Source organism: Homo sapiens, chromosome 2 (genome assembly GCF_000001405.40).
Source record: "Homo sapiens chromosome 2, GRCh38.p14 Primary Assembly".
Lineage (NCBI taxonomy): Eukaryota > Metazoa > Chordata > Mammalia > Primates > Hominidae > Homo > Homo sapiens.
The window spans coordinates 224,755,945-224,776,349 of NC_000002.12; the positions used below are offsets into that span (position 1 = coordinate 224,755,945).

Sequence of the window (20,405 nt, forward strand, 5' to 3'; positions counted from 1 at the left end):
TGGTGTGAACCCAGGAGGCGGAGCTTGCAGTGAGTTGAGATCGCGCCACTGCACTCCAGCCTGGGCGACAGAGCAAGACTCCGTCTCAAAAAAAAAAAAAAAAAAAAAAAAAAAAAAAAATATATATATATATATATATATATATATGTATGTGTGTGTATATATATATATATGTATGTGTGTGTATATATATATATGTATGTGTGTATATATATATATGTATGTATATATATATCCAAGAAACAATGTTGTTATAGTTAGTATATTAATATTGGCCAGGCGTGGTGGCTCACGCCTGTAATTCCAGTACTTTGGGAGGCCAAGGTGGGTGGATCACCTGAGGTCAGGAGTTCGAGACCAGTCTGGCCAAGATGGTGAAACCCCATCTCTACTAAAAATACAAAAATTAGCTGGGCATGGTGGCTTGCACCTGTAGTCCCAGCTACTCAGGAGGCTGAGGCAGGAGAATTGCTTGAACCCGGGAAGTGGAGGTTGCAGTGAGCCAAGATTGTGCCATTGCACTCCAGCCTGGAGTGAGACTCTGTCTCAAAAAAAAAAAAAAAAAAAAAAGAAAACTGCAAACAGAGTCCTCTGGAGAATCCTTCATGTTATTGTCATTTAAAGCTATTCTTTATAAACCTTACTTAATTATTCAGGCTCAATCACCATTACCTTCTCCAAAAGACTTGGAGAAGCTAACAGTGTAAATTATTTGGTGAAATAATGGTGATTGAGCCATATGGGAAAGTTTTGATCTCTCTCTCACTACTTATTGCTCTAAGATCAACCCTGTGTGCTCATTGTAGTGTCTCTCTTGAGTCTTGTGACTTATGATCTCTCCATCAAGTTAATCTTCTCATATATCCCATCCCCCACCACATGCAGCCTATTACAATAATAACAAGGGGTAAGGGGAAGACAAGGGCGTTTAGAACTTTTATGAGATTTTTTTTTTTTTGGCTGACATTCCTCATCTCCACAATTTACCTGGAACATTATAATCACCCATATTCTGAGCCCAAACCTGTTTATCTGCCCCATATTCATAGCGGATCCTCTTGTTTGCCCACAGGTTAATCAACTCTTTTTAAATTTTTAAAATTGATACATAATATTTATATATATTTATGGGGTGCAAGTGATATTTTGTTACATGCTGATATGGTTTGCTTATGTCCCCACCAAATCTCATCTTGAATTGTAACTGCCACAAATCCCACATATCCTGGGAGGAACCCAGTGAGAGGTGTTTGAATTATGGGGGTGAGTCTTTCCCATGCTGTTTGTTCTTGTGGTAGTGAATGAGTCTCACGAGTTCTGATGGTTTCAAAAATGGGAGTTTGCCTACACATGCTCTCTCTTCTCTTGTCTGCCGCCATGTGAGATGTGCCTTTCACCTTCTGCCATGATTGTGAGGCCTCCCCAGCCACGTCAAACTGTGAGTCCAATAAACCTCTTTCTTTTGTAAATTTCCCAGTCTCAGGTATGTCTTTATTAGCAGCATGAAAATGGACTAATACAGTAAATTGGTACCAGTAGAGTGGGGCACTGCTGAAAAGATACCTGAACATGTGGAAGCAACTTTGGAACTGGGTGACAGGCAGAGGTTGGAATAGTTTGGAGGACTCAGAAGAAGACAGGAAAATGTGGGAAAGTTTGGAACTTCCTAGAGACTTGTTGAATGGCTTTGACAAAAATGCTGATAGTGATGTGAACAATAAGGTCCAGGCTGAGGTAGTCTCAGATGGAGATGAAAAACTTATTGGGAACTGGAGCAAAGGTGACTCTTGTTATGTTTTAGCAAAGAGACTGGTGGCATTTTGCTCTTACCCTAAAGATTTGTGGAACTTTGAACTTGAGAGAGATGTTTTAGGATATCTGGCAGAAGAATTTTCTAAGCTGCAAAGCATTCAAGAGGTGACTTGGGTGTTGTTAAAGGCATTCGGTTTTAAAAGGGAAATAGAGCATAAAAGTTTGGAAAATTTGCAGCTTGACAATGTAATAGAAAAGAAAATCCCATTTTCTGAGGAGAAATTTGAGCCAGTTGCAGAAATTTGCATAAGTAATGAGGAGCCGAACATTGTCACCAAGACCACGGGGAAAATGTCTCCAGGACATGTCAGAGGTCTTCATGGTAGCCCCTCCTATCACAGGCCTGGAGGCCTAGGAGGAAAAAATGGTTTTGTGGGCTAGGCCCAGAGTCCATGTGTTGCGTGCAGTCTAGACTTGGTGCTGTGCATCCCAGCTGCTCCAGGCATGACTAAAAGGGGTCAAGTTACAGCTCAGGCCATGGCTTCAGAGGGTGCAAGCCTCAAGCCTTGACAGCTTCCATGTGGTGTTGAGCCTGCCAGTGCACCAAAGTCAAGAACTGAGGTTTGGGAACTTCTGCATAGATTTCAGAGGATGTGTGGAAATGCCTGGATGTCTAGGCAGAAGTTTGGCCCTGATGGTGGCAACTGGGAGCAGTAGTGACTGTGGGCAGGAAAGCCTGACCTCAAGGTGCATGGAAATGCATGGTAGTTCCTCTGCTGGGTGGGGAATTGCAGGGGTGGTGCTTGCTCCCAGTGGCTCTTGCCAGTTTGCAGTCAGTTGTAGCAGCAGTAGCAGGTGGGAGATGTCAATGGGGCCAAAGGGGTCTAGAGATACAGGGTCTGTTGGGACCCAAAGCAGAATGCCTTCTGGTGAGGGCTGGGTTTCCAGAATGGTGATGTGCTGTAGCTGCTTAGAACTAGGGGTGTGTGGGACCCAGTGTGAGCTCCGTCTCTGGATCAGTGCTATCAAGCAATATCCACGTATCTCCTATGTTAGCCTGAGGGCCTTTGAGTGTCAAGCGGCTCTCCTGTGGCTAGGATTGCAGAAGTCTGTGGTGGGAATGTGGACCCACTGGGGGTCTCTCACTTACTGTTTGCCCACATTAGGGAGCTTCTCCAGGCTTCTAGATGGTAGAGTAGGCTGCCTCACTTCCTTGTCCTTTGTCTTCCATGTTTGCTGTCACTTCTCTGCTGAATTCTGCTGTTCTGTCTTAAATTGTGTATTCAAAGTGTGATTATCTACTCACTATTTTGATTCTTCTTTGTGGAGGAGGTGAATACCAGATGCTTCTAGTTATCTTGAAGCCCCTTCCAGATTGGCCTTTTAAAACCTGATTAATTTTTGTCATGCTCCATCTCAGGCAGATGACCTCCTGGTCAGGATGGGGCTGTGTTCTTTAAGTAGTCCCTGGATCTTCTAGTGAAGGCTCAGGACATGGGTCAGTGGATGTGCAGAGGACTGGTTCTCAGATGCCAGCTCTTGTCATTCCTTACACTTCTCTCCATCTGCTTAAAAAGTCGTGATCCTACATAAACTTTCTTACATTTTAAAACTTCTTTTATTAGTATTACTCACATGCAGCTCTCTCAGTAGCTCTCAGACCTTGAATATTGTCTGTGCATCAGGTCTCATTGATGTCAGTTGCTTTGTAATGATGTAAGAAGATAGAATGAGTAGCTTTGGATGGCTGATTGGAACTTGTCAATTCAGGACTATCATATGACGTATGTATATACCACTCTACAAAGTACCCACATGTCCTCCTGCCTTTTTTTCTAACAACTCATTCAGTAGCTATTATACTCCCCTCTTAGAGATGAGGTTTAAAGAGTTTAAGTGATTGACCCAAGGACATACTGATTTGAGCCTTCAGACCATTATCAGGTATGGTTCTTCGTAACTTACTATGCCACCTAGATTTAAGTGAATATGTTTAGGGCTGGCTTTAGGCCTAGATACAGGAGATGATTGCTCTTGCAGTGAGATGGTGAAGAGAGGGTATGGGTGGAGAAGAAGTTCTGTGGTAGAATATCTGAAAACTTAATATCCCCCAAATCAGAAATTCATTCTCTTTGGTTAAAGATTGTACTTTGAAGGTATTAATTTCTCTCAGGAAACCATAGCTCTTTTCCCTGTAATCAGCCATTTGCATTCTAATTTGAGCTGAATTAGTGTTAGCCTTGAGTGGGGTTCACAGGAGTGGCAAAGACACGGAAAATGGGCTGCCATTCCTAAAGCCAGTGCCCAGTACCTCATGAGATGCTCAAACCTCCCAGGAGTGGAGGTGGCCTCACATATTCCTTCTCAACCCAGTATTTGAGGAAACAATTTCCTTTTGATTGGAGTTGACATTTGAATTGGAGTTCCTTTGGAAACAAAAAAGGCATGGAGTGAGAAGGGGAGGGGGTTCTGTTTAACCAAGGTGGGCCTGGGTGTAGGCTGAGAAAGGACTGTGACAAGGTAAGAGTAGGTAGCAGGTGACAGGAGAGGACAAGAATCTAATGGAGCTTGGAGCAAAGAGGACTTGGGAAACTTCCAAATAAAAAGATCATGTTGATAACAATTTTGCCTAAGTTTGCTCCTGCAGGTAAACATATCCAGTATCAAATACTTCAGTGGCAAAACCCTGCTCAGGCTGAGAACTCAAAAGAAGCCAAAATCCAGTAAACTCTGATACTGTCAAAATACTCCCTTATAAAAGAGATTCAAGGACACTCATTCCTACAATGAAGTCTGGGCCCCCAGTCCATCTTCCTCCGCTCCCCATTCCCTGCCCTAGCATTTTCTCTGGAATGACTCCATCCAACAGAACTTTGAGAATTTGACTCCAAAACTCTGAAGGGCAGGTCAATAGGTTGAACTGCCAAGATTACAAAGATGAAGACACAATCTGCCTTCAGGGACGCCATGACAGGATTGGAAGAAAACACAGATAATGACATGATAACTGATGGCATAACTGAGGAGAAGAGGGAGATGGGTGATGCAGGCAACACTTGCCAGTCATGGGCAGAGGATGGAAAATCCAGACATGCTAGGAACACAAGCAAAGCCTCAGGAAAACCTACTGACTTAGCCCACTCCTCAAAAGACAGACTCTGAGGTGGAGATTTATATGCAAGACGTTTACAAAGCAATTCCCAATGCTTCTTGGGAATTTGCTTAGAGGGAGGAGTTGAACTGTGAAGCAGTTGCAAGAGGCCTTTTAGTAGGAGCTGGGGAACCAGGATGGCCTTTAGAGTCGGGGCAATGAGCGCCTTTGTGCTTCTCATCCTCAACCAGTCATTGAAGTGAGCTTCTGCTGGGCTGGCGATGTGACCTGGAGCAAGAGGGACTCAGTTAAGAGCCACTGGGAGTCCAAGTAGCTGGGAAAACGGGGACCTCAGTCCTGAGGGAGGATCTAGGTATGATTTCACTGCATCCACTGTACATATGAGCTGGGTCCTGATGTGTATGGGTTAGATTTGCGTGGTTGGAGTAAAGGGAGAAAGGGACAGGAACTTTTTTTTTTTTTTTTGGAGACAGAGTCCCGCTCTGTCGCCCAGGCTGGAGTGCAGTGGTGAGATCTCGGCTCACTGCAAACTCCGCCTCCCGGGTTCACGCCATTCTCCTGCTTCAGCCTCCCGAGTAGCTGGGATTACAAGTGCCCGCCACGACGCCTGGCTAATTTTTTGTAATTTTAGTAGAGACGGGGTTTCACCTTGTTAGCCAGGATGGTCTCTATCTCCTGACCTCGTGATCTGCCTGCCTCCGCCTCCCAAAGTGCTGGGATTACAGGCGTGAGCCACCGCGCCCGGACTGTTTTTTTTGTTTGTTTTTTTTTGTTTTTGTTCTTTTTTTTTTAAAGTGAGCAGAACATTGCGGCTCTAGTGAAGGTTACGCATAGGCAAGCAGACGGGGTGTGAAATTAGGAGGAAGGCAAGGGGCTCCCTGCAGAGAATCTTGAAGGCCAGTCATGCCTGCACTTCGTCATTTTCTCAACAAAATATATTAACATATAACATTTAATATATGGTATATAGTTTTTCGCTGCTATAAGTGTAGGGGTGGAGGATATGGGGGCCACTTGTAATATGAGCAAATAATAACTTTGATTTAGTATCATTTTGTCACATTTGTTCTCAAATATTTATTATTTTCTTAACTGCTCATGGGAGTACTGAAATCCTATAATATATGTATTTTTGGCTTTCTGGGGTTTGACTAATATAAGATGATAAATCATCCACCTGCAAACATAGTGGACCTCTTCTGCAGAGAGACCAACATTCAGGGTTCTAAAAGCCAAGCCTTCCCAGCAATGTTCTCTCCATCTCCCTGTGACTACATCCCGCAGAAAGCTGTCATTAGGAAGGAAACATGGTGTTTGGACCATTTGTACTGGTTTCTAAGTGAGTGTTAACACAGGAATACAGATGTACTATGTGAGGTTTGGATAATGGACACTCATTTATAAGGTAATTGTCACCAAAAATAGGGGATTATGTTAATTTTTTATAGTCTGGGCATTTTGCACTTTGAAATGAGAATGAAAAAAGAAGTAGCTACTGAGTGGGATGATGAATGAATGAGGGGACAGAGCCAGGGCTGACATCCCAAGTATTAGATCCACATATTCTGTGTTGGATCTTTTCCAGGGTAAATTATAGAGGAAAATGCCATTTGTCTTATTTTCATCCTTTCCATCTGTGGAACTTGAAGAGTTACTACCATTTTTTATTGAGCTTGTTTTGAGGAGTATTAATTTAACTTTATACAAAGATGAAAAAGAATGTAAAATAAGAATTTGGTTTCTTGGCAATTCGAAATGAGGTCACTGTTTTACAAGGCCTTATCATCCGTACAGTCATTTTTTTAAGGGTAGCTAATTAGCGGAGGATCCAGTGGAGTTTTTATACCCAGTATGTCTAAGAATCATGTGGGCTTGGGTACTGGACTCCACTCCAGGGGGTTCTATTTCAGAAGTTCTTATGGCACAGAGAAGTATGCACTTGAACAGGTGTTTTGTCTGATTCTGAAGCAAGTGGTCTTCTGTCCATGAGTGATTACTACAGTGAGATAGATAATAAAAGTTTGTTTGAACTGGGGCCTACACATGCCTATGGGATCTAGGCAGGAAATATAAATAACAGGGGCTGCCCGATAGAAGCTGATTAGGGCTTGGTGCCTATTGCTGCAAGCTGGAAAACACATGTAAATGGAGCAACAGTGTCTCAATTTTCACTTGTTGTTGTGATGGGGGAGTGCGATTCCAATACTGCTAAATGGCCTGAGCATTCAACAGATATCAGAAAGCTGGAAATCTATACAAAGTCTCGTAATATTTAACTGTTGACACCTAATTGAAATAAAATAAAGACTACGTGTTTGGCAGATAAAATACGTATGCTGGATTCCATCTCTGAGCAGCCAGTCTGATGTGTCTGGTCTAGAGAAAGGAAGAAATAAAAGGTGTTGGGATTGTGCAGGGTGAGTTTCAACGCTGTTAAGGCAGAGTGGTCTTAGGTGATTCTCTTTAGAGAAGCTGTATTTAAACTTCTTGTTCTATGAACAGTGTCAGGGGCAAAACGGTGACATGATCAAAGATATTGTGGTTTGTGATGCAAAAATAGAATATTTGGCACCTAACACAAGCACAAAGATCTATTATTTTCAATTACTTCCTTAGAGTTTTTTTGGAAGATTTATTTTCAGATTTGGAGGTAACCCATTGCCAACCGTGTCCTGGGGGCATGGGAGATGGGTGGATTGGCATGGGCAAGAGGACTTGAGCCTACAGGTGGAAGTTAGGTGGGAGATGATATTGGAGGCAGCATCTTCCTGGGTGCCTGGAATAGTAATGTCTAAGGTGGCCTAAAGCTACACATGGGGAAATTAAAAGAAAAGACCTGAGATGCTGACCCAGACAGTCAGGAACCAAGAGAACTGGAGGCAGAATGAAGCTGGGAATAATGCTTTGGGCCAGAGCTCATCAAAGGGCAATCTTTTCTATAAAGAAGTGAGCTCTATTTGAGAAAAGAATAGTTAAATGTGTCTTGAGGCCAGGCGTGGTGGCTCATGCCTGTAATCCCAGCACTTTGGGAGGCTGAGGCAGGCAGATCACGAGGTCAGGAGATCGAGACCATCCTGGCCAACATGGTGAAACCCCGTCTCTACTAAAAATACAAAAATTAGCCAGGCATGGTGGTGCGTGCCAGTAATCCCAGCTACTCGGGAGGCTGAGACAGGAGAATCACTTGAACCCGGGAGGTGGAGGCTGCAGGGAGCCGAGATCGCGCACTGCACTCCAGCCTGGGCAACAGAGTGAGACTCTGTCTCAAAAAAAAAAAAAGTGTCTTGAGGGATCCGAGTTCTCACCCAAAATATCTTTCTATCCCTTCTGTGTACTCAAAATGTAAATACGTATTCCAACCCCTTACCTCCCTCCTCACCATCATGTACTGACATGGCCAATGGCCTTGCATAGCAGAAAGATGAGCTCAGCTGAAGTCTCCTTTTTTATGTCTGGGGCTTTGGAATGGCTGCTGAAGGTGAGTATGAAATTAGATTCTCTAGCTTGCCTTCTGCACCTAGAAGCAGCTCAGTTCGGGTCCATGGCAGCCAGTATTCACTAGGGGAGGGAAGTGGGCCAGAGAGTGGAAAATGTCAGTGGTTCCCAAACGTAGGTCAGCACCTATCGGTCATTGCTCTGATAAGCTCATAACATGGTGGTAGCAAACAATCCTGAATCGTAACACAGCAAAATGGTATTTCTCACTCAAGACTATATGACCAATAGCGTTAGCAGGGAGTGTGTGTGTGTGTGTCTTGCTCATTGTAGTTTCCTGGGTACTGAGGCTGAAACAATATGTCAAAGGTAAGTAAATCAGGGCTTCAGGTACATCAAAGATAAGTACATCAGGGGAAGAGGCTGGGAAGAACTACTTACTGGCTTTGAAGCCTCTGCCTGAAAGTAACACATGTTACTTCTGCCTACATTTCAGTGGTTATAGCAAGTCACATGGTCATGCTTGCCTTCAAAAGAGGCAGGAAACTGCAATCCTACCACAAGATTAGAGCAGAGAAATGGAACATTTGTGATCTCTCTGAGAACCTCCACAGACCTCAAGATTCGGATTCATTAGATTTTCCCCAAGTCATTCTAAGTCTCTCCTACATTTGGAAACCTCTGATCTACCCAGTTCATCTTTGGAGGAACTTCTTAGCTGAGATTTGAGTCCTTTGTTGGTTTCTTGGCAAGGCATCCTAAGTATTGAGTATAGATTTGCATTCAGAAGATATTCAATGAACCATTTTTCTCAGTAACTCACCCACTCTTCAACAGGAAACCAAATGCAAAGTAACTGTGTTTTTTATTTCTATGAACAATAAAATACTTTCATAATTTCACATCCCATTGCTTTTAAGAGCACATATATTACAAATAAAGGAACTCCACAAACTTTAAAGATTAGTATTTATCAACGCTTTTGTACACATACACAAATATTTTAATATAATGGTATCTGAAATGTTATTCATATATTTTTAGTACTGTCATAGTATTAACTAAAAAGGATCTTTTAAATTTGGTAAAAACCGTATATTTTACAATCTTTTATTTACATCTGAAATATGCTTAAATGTTACAAAAACATTCACTTTAACCTTTAAAATATGTGTACTAGGACTGGGGTACTGACCATACAATAACTGACAGCAAACTTAGGGTTTGCATTTGAGCTACACATTCACTGGAATTTCATGGCAAATATTCAACCTGGCTTGATCAACACTGCTCAAAGAAAAAAAAATTATACAAAATGTGCAAATTCAGAGGTTGGCAAAATTCTGAAGCTAGCGAGGTAAACAAAAATATTAACACCATGAAAACTTCAAATAAATTAAACCTATCTTTCTCTTCCCCGAGATTAGCTGCAAATTCAGAAAGTTCTCTTAGAGGTGGGTCTGATGCTGCAGAGCCCTCAGACTTCAGCACTAGATGAGATGGAGACCGTGGGTAGGGCCGGAGTTGCTTTGCTAATTACTCGAGTGCAGGTTTGGTCCACTCCGCGCTTTGACAGGTCGTCCCTGCCCGTAATCTTAAAACAGGGAAAAACACAACACAACAGAATGCAGAGGTTAATGTTAATATCCCAAACACAAAATTAAAACCCAGAATAGAGGTTTTCATTCCCCACAGGGTAATTTATTCAAATTATAAAAAGACACATATTAAAGTGGATCTAAAGAATTTTCCCCCAAGACCACGTGCTAGCTTTAACTTTTGGTGAAAGTTAAAATATTTTCACAATCCTCTTCTGCTATCTGACATAAATTTATAAATGTTTGGATGAAACTTACAAATATATCTGAGTAATTCCAGGATTTTATTCTATTCTAAAAGTTTATAATTTATATTGTCAGCATCTGCCAAAAAAGGGAAACATTAGAAATTTTATTTAAATGTTTGCATAAAAGGAAATATAGTAAAAAAGTCTTGACCTGATTTTAATCTTGAAAATAATGTTAGTGTGCCTAAAAAATACTTTATCAGATTGATTCAAACAATGACGTGTAAGCATAATAACAACAGAAACTCCAGACACTTTTAAAATATATTTTTGTACAGAAGAGATTTCTGTACAAAGAATTGTGAAGATTTTCCCACTAACTTCACACATTATCCCACTGTGCCATGACCTTCATCTCTACTCTTCCAAGATAGAATCGCTACTTCTGTAAGTGCCCCAAAGAGCACTCAGCTGAGAGCATCCTATACTACCAATAAATTCTCCTTATGATCAATATCACAAAGCTCTGAATAATCTGGCTGATGATGTGTTCAAAGAGTAGACTCCAGGTGCAGTATACCTATGCTTGGTATCACACCAGATTGGGTCCATTCCTTTCTCTGCATTTTGTATTGGATACCCATCATCACAGTTGACTTCACTATGCTGTTATTCTTACTGAATGTTGAAACAGACTCCAAATGGGCATCTTATACTGATGCTTAAACTGAATGCTTATATGCATTACTTTGGCTTCAAAGAAGGCTTTTATGTTTTTTGCTATTTATTATAAACAGTATGGAATTTTGGCACCTATAAAAGCAATTATTGCCTGCTGGTCAGTGACAACTCAAACTACTTTACCTCAACATCTCCATTTTACACAGTAGCATCCACTTTATCTTGTCTTGTCTCGTTCCTTATACTGAAGGTTCCTTCATTAACTAGATGTCTTCAAAATACTCCTCTAGCTAATACTTTTCTAGACACTTTTGGAGTGAATTGCATATGTAGCTGAAACAGCAGAAGGACGAACATAACTACATTTTTTAGTTTTAATCATGGGGCCTTTACCCATTCCTGAATGTAGGCTGGGATCACTTTGGAGCACTGATATAATCTGAAAAAACAGCAATCATGTAGTTTTTTTTTTAGACGGAATCTCACTTTGTCACCCAGGTTGGAGTGCAGTGGCATGATATCAGCTCACTGCAACCTCCGCCTCCTGGATTCAAGCAACTCTCCTGCCTCAGCCTCCCAAATAGCTGGGATTACAGGCACCTGCCATTACAGCCAGCTAATTTTTGTATTTTTAGTAGAGATGGGACTTCACCATGTTGGCCAGGCTGGTCTCGAACTCCTGACCTCAGGCAATCTGCCCACCTCGGCCTCCCAAAGTGCTAGGATTACAGGTGTGAGCCACTGCACCCGGCCTCATGTAGTTTTTAAAACTAACCCTGGGATTAAAGAAGTATGTAGACAACTTCTATGTTTTTTTAAAGACTATGTTTTTTTAAAGATTTATAGGAGCATTGTGACCTGACCAGGACAAAGAAGTTTGCAACCTCCTCAGACCTTTGCTCATGCCCAGATATCTGTGGTCATCAGACACTTCTTGATTTCAACCCCCTTCTTTTCTCCCTGCCCTTAACATAAAAAGAGCCTACAATGTGTACTGAGTTAAGATGGTACTTTAGGATGCTGGATCACCATCTTCATGTTTGCTGGCTCTCTGAATAAACCTGCTTTTCCTCCCATCAACTCTCACTTCTAGTGTTCGGCTATTGAGCAGACAGCAGCCAAATCTGGGTTTGCTTACACATAATTAATTCTATTTTTCTATTTCCTTTTTATATTTTGATGTGTAGCTATCCATTCTAATTGTTTCTTTTTTTTTTTTTAAGACACAGTTTTGCTCTTGTCTCCCAGGCTGGAGTGCAGTGGTGTGATCTTGGTTTACTGCAACCTCTGCCTCCTGAGTTCAAGCGATTCTCCTGCTTCAGCCTCCCGAGTAGCTGGGATTGTAGGAGTGTGCCACCACACAGGCTAATTTTTTTTTGTATTTTTAGTAGTGACGGGGTTTCACCATGTTGGCCAAGCTGGTCTCACACTCCTGACCTCAGGTGATCCACCAGCCTCAGCCTCCCAAATTGTTGGGATTACAGCATGAGCCACCGTGCCTGGCCTGTTTCTATTTTTAAGTGTTCAATAGAATTTTTTTCCTTTGTTGTAATTTTGTATGTACCTGTTTTCAGAATATGTGCATGAATAGATAGGTATGTGAAGGTATTCCTATAGATGGAGACCTAGGTGACAAATCCCCATTGAAGTTCAGAACCAGGAGAAGGTGTATATTTCCTGTGGACAGATCTTTTTATAGATCTATTTCTATAACAAGGCCTGTGCAATCCATCAGTTTCTTTTCTTTGTGTCAGTTTCCATGAGGCATAGAGTCAAGTTTTGCTTCTTTTAGCAAAGGTTTCCTGGAAAAGAGATGATTTTTCTCTCCCCTTAATCACCTAGTCCTTGTCTTTATATTTTTGTTTTAGCAGTTTTAGGTACAGCATATCTTTGTTTTGGAAACAAATCAGCTCAAATATACTTTAGAAGTTGGAGTATGAGTTTTCATTTTAAAAGCTGTGTTGTTAACTTCAGTTTAAATCATGAGGCTTTTCCCCCCATTGACCTACCTTGAAATGGAAATGGAGTTGTTCTAATTAAATAAAAACTTAGAGAGCACTAGCTACTAGGGAGGTGACTAGAGAGACTGAATGGCTAGGAAGAGAGGGGTACACCAGAAGGCCACAGAGGACAGAGTAGACATAAAGAAAGAAAAACATACCACTTTTGCTTACAGTACTGAGGGAAATACTAGACACAGAGGAACAGAAGCTGTATAAACACGGACCTCGACAGAGCTGCCAGGAAAAAAGAGAAAAGCATTTTTGTCCAAAGTTTCTAGGTCAGATGTGATTTACAGTTGGAGACAAGCATTCCTTCACCACCTTCCCGAACTTTCAGATCCATCATTTGTTCTTTTTATTTCACTCCCAGATTTATGATTTTCCCCATTCTATCAAGTCATCTCTCCTGAGTACTTAATTCCTGTCACCCCTCAAATAGCCTAAACCAATACTACCTCCACGAGGAATCCTATCTACGGCAATTCATTTTCTCCAATATAACTCGGTCAACCATTTCTTTCTCTAGCTACAATGGAGAGTTAAAAATCAGGATGGAAGAAGATGGAAAAACCGAAAAGAAGCAAGATGGGAAATGCAATTAGAAAAAACAGATTCATACAACACACTTCATGGTTTGTGAGTCGTATTAACAGTGCCAGGCCATTTAAGGAAAACAAAGGAAATGCATATTCAGTGGGTGGCTACCATGTATGAAGCACTACTGGGAGACTAATTCAAGTTCTGCTCCTCAGTTTTTCTGTAGAGAACACATCTAACTCCTGGAGGGGAGCACGGGTGATGAGATGTCCAGGTAGAGTGTGGGGGTATGGATTCTAGGAAGTAGGCCAGGAAGCAACACTTGGCTTTCAACCAGTTGATTTTTAGCCACCCAAAAAGTACTGAGATGACTGAATGCCCACATTTTGTGTGCAGCCTTGCAGAACATGCTGTACACATCCCAGACGTCACGGATGACTTGCTTGTGGGGTGGGTGGTTGAGTTTTATCTGAATTCTGCACATCTGCAGGAGGCCCAGCCTCCGTAAAGGCAGTCTTGGTGGTAAACAGCCATGACTAGTCTTAGGGTTCATCGTGAGTATAGTGTAGAGACCCCCTCAACTGTGGACTCCACATCATGGCCTCAGGGTTGTGAGGTCCTCAACTAGGGATGGCGGAGGGTGGCAGCAAACCCTCATGGGAATGCCACCCAGTGTTCCTCAGCATTTAATGGGACTCACATAGTCTAGAAAACCCAGGGTTCATTTGGACTGTGGAAAGTATCTAGGTTCTCATAATCTTTTTCTACAGAGTTTCCCCCAGCCTGATCTCTGCTTTGGGGCACGAGGTGGTGTGCACGGGAGAGAGAACAGATCAGCAACATGGTGCTGATGCAGTGATTTCTGCAGCAAGAAAAGGGCCTCTTTCCTGTCCTTCTGGCATTGGGAGCGAAAGGGACTTTCTGTCCACTGATAGCGCGTGTGCACCAAGGAGCGCTCACCTGCTCATTCATGACTGTGGAGAGTTCGCTGAGCATGTCCTTGTAGTGGGACCTCAGTTCTTCCTGGTACTCCAGCTGGTCCTCTTTGATGAGGCGCTCATTCACGTCAAGGGCCTGCCCACATGCATCTGCAAATTGCCTTTAGCGACAGCATTAAACAAATTAAAAACCAGCCCTCGGAAGTGGCATTGAGCTCAGTGACTGTGAGTTCAGAGTCAGGCTGCTGATGGACTCTGCCACCTCAGTGAGTTTTGGTGTGATGGATTCTTGGGGGATTGAGGACTCCCTGTCTCAGGAAGTTCAAGGAAGAACATCCCAACAGCGAGAAGCTTACCTGAAGATCTCCTTCAAAAGCTTTACTTGGTTGTCAGGGTACTTCTTTGCATTGGTTTCTTCAAGAAAAGCTCGTGCATAGGCCATTGGCCCAGCATTAACCTGTTGAGAAGAAAATTGGTGAAGGATGATCTACCTTCTGCATGGAGTCTTTTCCACCGCTGGAAGAGGAGCAACTGTGCACCAATGGTGTGGTACCCCCATCTCACACCCTGCCTTCTAGTCCACTCATTTGTATACCTGACTTAGCTGCTGTCCTCCAACTTGTCAATAGAGCATGAGTCTGAGCTCCACCTTTCACTAACAAACTTCCCAAATTTCAGTCCTTTGCCAACCCCTTCACATTTTTTTTTTTTGTCATATCTGTACGTTGCTTGAACTACTATTTTTTTCTTTCTTTTTTTCTTTGTTAGAGACAGGGTCTCACTCTGTTGCCCAGGCTAGAGTGCAGTGGCATGATCACTGCAGCTTCAAACTATTGGGCTCAAGTAATCCTCTCGCCTCAGCCTCTCAAGTAGCTGGGACCACAGGTGTTTACTACCATGCCTGGCTAATTTTTTAAAGAAAGTTTTTGTAGAGACGGGGGAAGGGGGGCGGTCTCACTACATTGTCCCGGCTAGTCTGGAACTCTTGGCCTCAAGCAATCCATCTGTCTTGGCCTCCCGAAGTGCTGGGATTACAGGCATGAACCACCCACGGAATCTGCTGTTTTCTTAACAGCTTTTAAAACTAGACTCACTTCTATTAATTCCAATATATTTATTTAAATTTAACATTTGTGAAATCAAATGTTTGAAGTGCTAGTTTTTCTTTTCTATTAACACTCAAATAAACACATACTATTATGAAGGGATAATCCACAGTGGTAGTGGTGTGGGCACTGCCCTAGAATCAGTGTTTCACTGGGTTCCATTTGATGGTCTGGCTTAGATTCTGGCTCAAGGAGGCATTTATCAGATTTGCTGAATGAATGCACAGTGCTGGGTTCAATTCATGCTCATGCCCATGGATGGCCTCACTTGTGCAGGAGTTCATATCCCTTAGTGCATAGAAGCCTTTAATGTGGCTGTCAGGCTTGGGAAGGAAAAAGGTAAAAGAAGAAGGAAGCTGACTTCAGGGGCCTGTGACCAGCAGGCATGGCCAGTGTGGCAGATGCAGTCACTGGTACTGGGTGTACCATCTTTTGCTTCTCCAGATCAAATCTCCACTTCCCTTCACTCAGCTATGTGCCTAGGGAAGTCATCTTGTATGGGATAGGACAATGGCTCTCTTGCTTTCTGGCCTTCTCAGCCCATGGGGGACACAGACAAGGGAGGTAGGGAACGGGAGAGTGTGGTCAGTGTCAGGATCAGTAGCATTAATTTTTTCTTTGGCTTTTTTTTTTTTTTATTTTTTGAGATGGAGTCTTGCTCTGTCACTGATGCTGGAGTGCAATGGCATGATCTCAGCTCACTGCAACCTCCACCTCCCAGGTTCAAGCAATTATCCTGCCTCAGCCTCCCAACTAGCTGGGATTACAGGCGTGTGCCACCATGCCCGGCTAATTTTTGTATTTTTAGTAGAGGTGGGGTTTCACCTTGTTGGCCAGGCTGGTCTCGAACTCTTGACTTCAAGTGATCCATCCATCTCGGCCTCCCAAAGTGTTGGGATTACAGGCATGAGCCACTGCATCTGGACTTCTTTGGCTTTTAGGGTCCAATATAGCTGTGCAGGGTGCCACTACTGATCTTCCTTTATTTTAAAATTTAATACTTTATTCCTTACAAATACTTAGCATCAATTTATTAATATAATAAATAAAAATTAATGCCTTATTCCTGAGTTGCTTGGAGCTCCCTTTAATTTTGTGCCCAAGGTGAGTGCCTTACTCACCTCACCTGCCTGGCCCTGGTCAGAGTACTAAGCCCCAGGGCGTCCTCCTTGCAGAAGCCTCCCTATCGCTAGCTGAAGTCACTCCTGTCTACTTGTCTGTCATCAGATGGACCTCTCAGCTCCCCTGTCTGCTTCCACTAACCCTCCTCTCCTTGCATCTTCAGGTCTAGGGTGGTCACACCGCCTGAGTGCTGCCAGCCCCTGTGCCAGCCCTTTCTGGCTTTCCCAAATGCTGCACACACTTTTGGGAACAGTTTATTTACTCTATCCTCCTCAATCACTCACTGAGCATGCCATCTGCTTCCTGTCACAACTCTGCCAGACAGATAAACATGCATGCACCTTTTATGAACTAGTAATCATTCTTTTTTGGATTTGTTTCAAAACAATTTTTTAAGGCTCTTAATGACAGATATGTACAAGAATGTGGTGTTTCTTCATTAGTTAATTCATTTGTTAGTATACAGATATAGAACACAGTTATCCATAGAAGATGGGATAGCAAGGTGGAGGAAGAATACATTTTATTTCAGCTAAACTTAAGAAAGGCCTATCTACAGGTGTTGAGTAACATTAATGCACATTGACAACTAGAAGCCATTTTAAAGACCCAGATAAAGGTGTTCTATTCTCACAAAAGGGAAAATGTTTCTTATATTCTTTGTAAACAAAGTTCTCAGGGCATTTTACACCTGGTTTCATTGGCCATGTGCATCTCAGCCCTGGGCAATGCTTACTCACCTTCACGCTGACACTTCCTTGCAGTTTGAGCTGCAGTCTGATCATGTCCACTTCTTCCATTGTGCAAAGCTGATTAAGCTCAGAAACCTTCTTGGACATCTCGTCAATTGCCACTTCAATTGGATTCAGTTCTGTGCTCGATTGGCTAATTACTTGTATTCTCTTCTTCACGTAGGGGAACAGGTGACTCGCTGTACAAAAGCCATACAAAGGGATTTCAAGGTTGAGGATTAGTGAAGAGTCAAGGGTTTCCCTGAAGGACCAGAGGATCATGTATCATTTCACGGCACATGGCACCTTCCATTCTGCATGCTTTTCATGCATGGGAGTTACTTTTTCTGCTAGGTGCCATCCTCTCTAATACCTCTTAGCTTGTGCCCAAGCTCCTTTGACCTGTGTGCCCTTCTGCCTTCACTGCTAACAGGCCCTCATTCTCAGGGCTGTTTTAGGCCTTTAGAATTTTTTTCTTTTTTCTTTCTATCTTTTTTTTTTTTTGAGATGAGTCTCGCTCTGTAGCCAGGCTGGAGTGCAGTGGCGCGATCTCGGCTCACTGCAGTCTCCGCCTTCTGGGTTCAAGTGATTCTCCTGCCTCAGCCTCTCGAGTAGCTGGGACTACAGGTGTGCGCCACCATGCTCAGCTAATTTTTGTATTTTTAGTAGAGACGGGGTTTCACCATGTTGGCCAGGATGGTCTTGATCTCTTGACCTCATGATCCGCCCGCCTCTGCCTCCCATGTGCTGGGATTACAGGCGTGAGCCACCGCACCCGGCCAGCCTTTAGAATTTCTAAACACTGAAAAGATTAAAGCTTCCACAGCAACTTGTAATTCAAATAAAAACTACACTAACCCACAATACAGAATGCCTAAATATATACCAAGTAGTATATATTGATATAGCTTTGTTGTGGCTTTTTTATTTCAAAAGTTTTGGATACATTTACTGAAGGCAGACGCTTGTCACAGTTTAGACATCAGTGCTACTGATAGGCTGTAGCCTATTCCAGGATGGCCCAGCTCTCAAAGCGGGTTACTGATCATTTCCTCCAGAATGCCCTTGCTCACCTCCCCTGCAGCCAGCCTTAGGAGCCCCCACTGGGTGCTCTTGTTTCATTTCTCCTGCTCCGCTCATCTGAAATTCTTGCCTTACTTGGCTCTTTCTCCTACCAGACTGTGAGCACCTTGAGGGCAAGAATCATGTTTCATTTGCATTACCAGTACCCAGAACAGTGCCCAGCCCCTAGCAGGGCCTCACTAAAAGTGTGTTGAGGAAATGAAAGGATGACTAGCTCACAGCATAGATCTAGAGAGCACATCGAGGGATATTGGAGACCGACATCTGCATTCGTTTTACAGATGAAGAATATGAATCCCAGAGTGGTTTAGAATCTTTCCCCAAAGCACACGATAAGAGCTGTTAACCCTGAAACAATTGAAGGTAGACTCAGAGAGGAAAGTTCAGAGTGCCTTGTGCCTTTCCCAAGGCACTGACCCCATCACCCTTCACACTTACAACCTTAAGGGAATAGGTATGCAAAGCAACTCTTTTGACAATTTCTCCTCTGGTTGACTTCTGTTAATGGAGAATAAAGAGATGGAAATCTCTTCTTGGCAAACATTTCCCAGTTAGCACATGTTGGGTACTTCTCTGCAGGACTGAAATAACTCTTGATTCCTACTGATCCAGCCCTATAAAGGGGCCTGTGCTGGAACAGGTGCCACATGTGTGGCCCGGCTACCTGCACCTACTTGTCAGGATCGTCCGCCGCTTGCACTGCTCCGCCACCCCACCGTGCTTCTTGCCCGACAGCGTGAAGGGTGTCTCGAAGACAAAGCGGTTGATGTTGTGGTGCATTTCGAAATCTGTCTTCCGGTCTTCGATTTCCTTTTCCTCAAAGAACGGCGTCACATAGGTCACCTGGATGTAGGCATATTTGGGGTCCAAATCCTTGGGGTTTACCTGTGTTAACAGATTATGGGCAAAGTGAGTGGTGTGCCCTGGAGCGCTCTGAAAGCGGGAAGCTCCCATTCCCTCAGCTTGCATCCAGAGGAGGCTGTGCCTCTCCCCTTGGAGAAAAATGGGCAGTCACATCATTTCAGAGCTGGGCAGGATCACAGAGAGAGTAAAGGCTGGACTGCAGCTGAGCAGCCAGGTCTGTAGGGGTGGAATTAGAGCCAGCATACCAAGTAGGTGAGGCTCTTCCAGATGTGCCTGGCTGTGGCATGTTATTTAGTCTTTTATTTTCTCTCTTCTCTGTAATGAATGTTCAATCGCCTTTGTCTGGAATGCAAACTTCTTTTATTTTTCATTTTATTTATATTATTATTATTATTTTTTGAGACAGGGTCTTGCTCTGTCTCCTAGGCTGGAGTGCAGTGGCACGATCTCGGCTCACTGCAACCTCCCCCTCCTGGGTTCAAGTGATTTTCCTGCCTCAGCTTCTCTAGTAGCTGAGATTACAGGCATGTGCCACCACACCTAGCTAATTTTTGTAGTTTTAGTAGAGAGAGGGTTATGCTCTGTTGGCCAGGCTGGTCTCAAACTCCTGGCCTCAAGAGATCTGTCCTCTTGGCCTCCCAAAGTGCTGGGATTAGAGCCAAGGGCCACTGCACCCAGCCCTAGAATGCAAGCTTCTTGAGAGTAATTCAAATGAAAACTTTTAAAAAATATCTTTTGGTCCCTCTATGATTTTACCCATGTATCTAGACTGAGGCCACTGGCTTTGGGCTTGTGCCGAGGAGGGAGATTCCTTGTTTAATTTAGCAGATTAGCTGATAAGCCTATTACATGATTGCAAAATTTTATAGTTTTAAGGTCAGGTTCCTTCTCTTATCTGTAACAAGTCATCCCATGCATTTTTTTTTTTTTTTAAACAAACTGCTTTGGTGAGTGAGTTTGACAAATAGCAAGGAAGACAGGCTGGGGGTACTAAGAAAATCCAGGAAATTGCACTTGCTCTCCCTTGGAGTTGGAAGAGCTGGAGTTCTCAGCTTTTCTAATGAAACCTCAAAGAATTTTAAAACTTCTTCCAATTTTCTCCATCTGTCTACCCATCCACTGCCTATCCAGTCCCAGAGATTTGAGGGACCTCCTGAATTTATTTTGTAATGCTACTACTAATTACACTGTAAGGCGGGTATAATTGTAACCATTTTACATCAAAAATAGAGGTTTCGAGTGACCAGCTAATTTC

At 43.0% G+C, this 20,405-nt stretch overlaps 1 protein-coding gene across 21 annotated transcripts in view; it reads right to left on the reverse strand.

The window, feature by feature from the left end:
- DOCK10 (dedicator of cytokinesis 10) overlaps positions 9,146-20,405 on the reverse strand; it is a 277,379-nt gene continuing 266,119 nt past the window's right edge. For 11 of the 21 annotated variants that reach the window (XM_047444929.1, XM_047444921.1, XM_047444918.1 and 8 more), the window contains 6 exons: positions 18,961-19,171; positions 17,213-17,403; positions 14,601-14,701; positions 14,267-14,405; positions 12,928-13,003; positions 9,146-9,893 (listed from right to left, as the gene is read on the reverse strand). In XM_047444929.1, the coding sequence (XP_047300885.1) occupies positions 9,832-9,893; positions 12,928-13,003; positions 14,267-14,405; positions 14,601-14,701; positions 17,213-17,403; positions 18,961-19,171 (780 nt within the window). In that variant the 3' untranslated portion in view covers positions 9,146-9,831. The remainder of the gene's footprint in view (positions 9,894-12,927; positions 13,004-14,266; positions 14,406-14,600; positions 14,702-17,212; positions 17,404-18,960; positions 19,172-20,405) is intronic. The other 10 variants (XM_047444930.1, XM_047444922.1, NM_014689.3 and 7 more) reach the window with 1 other exon arrangement.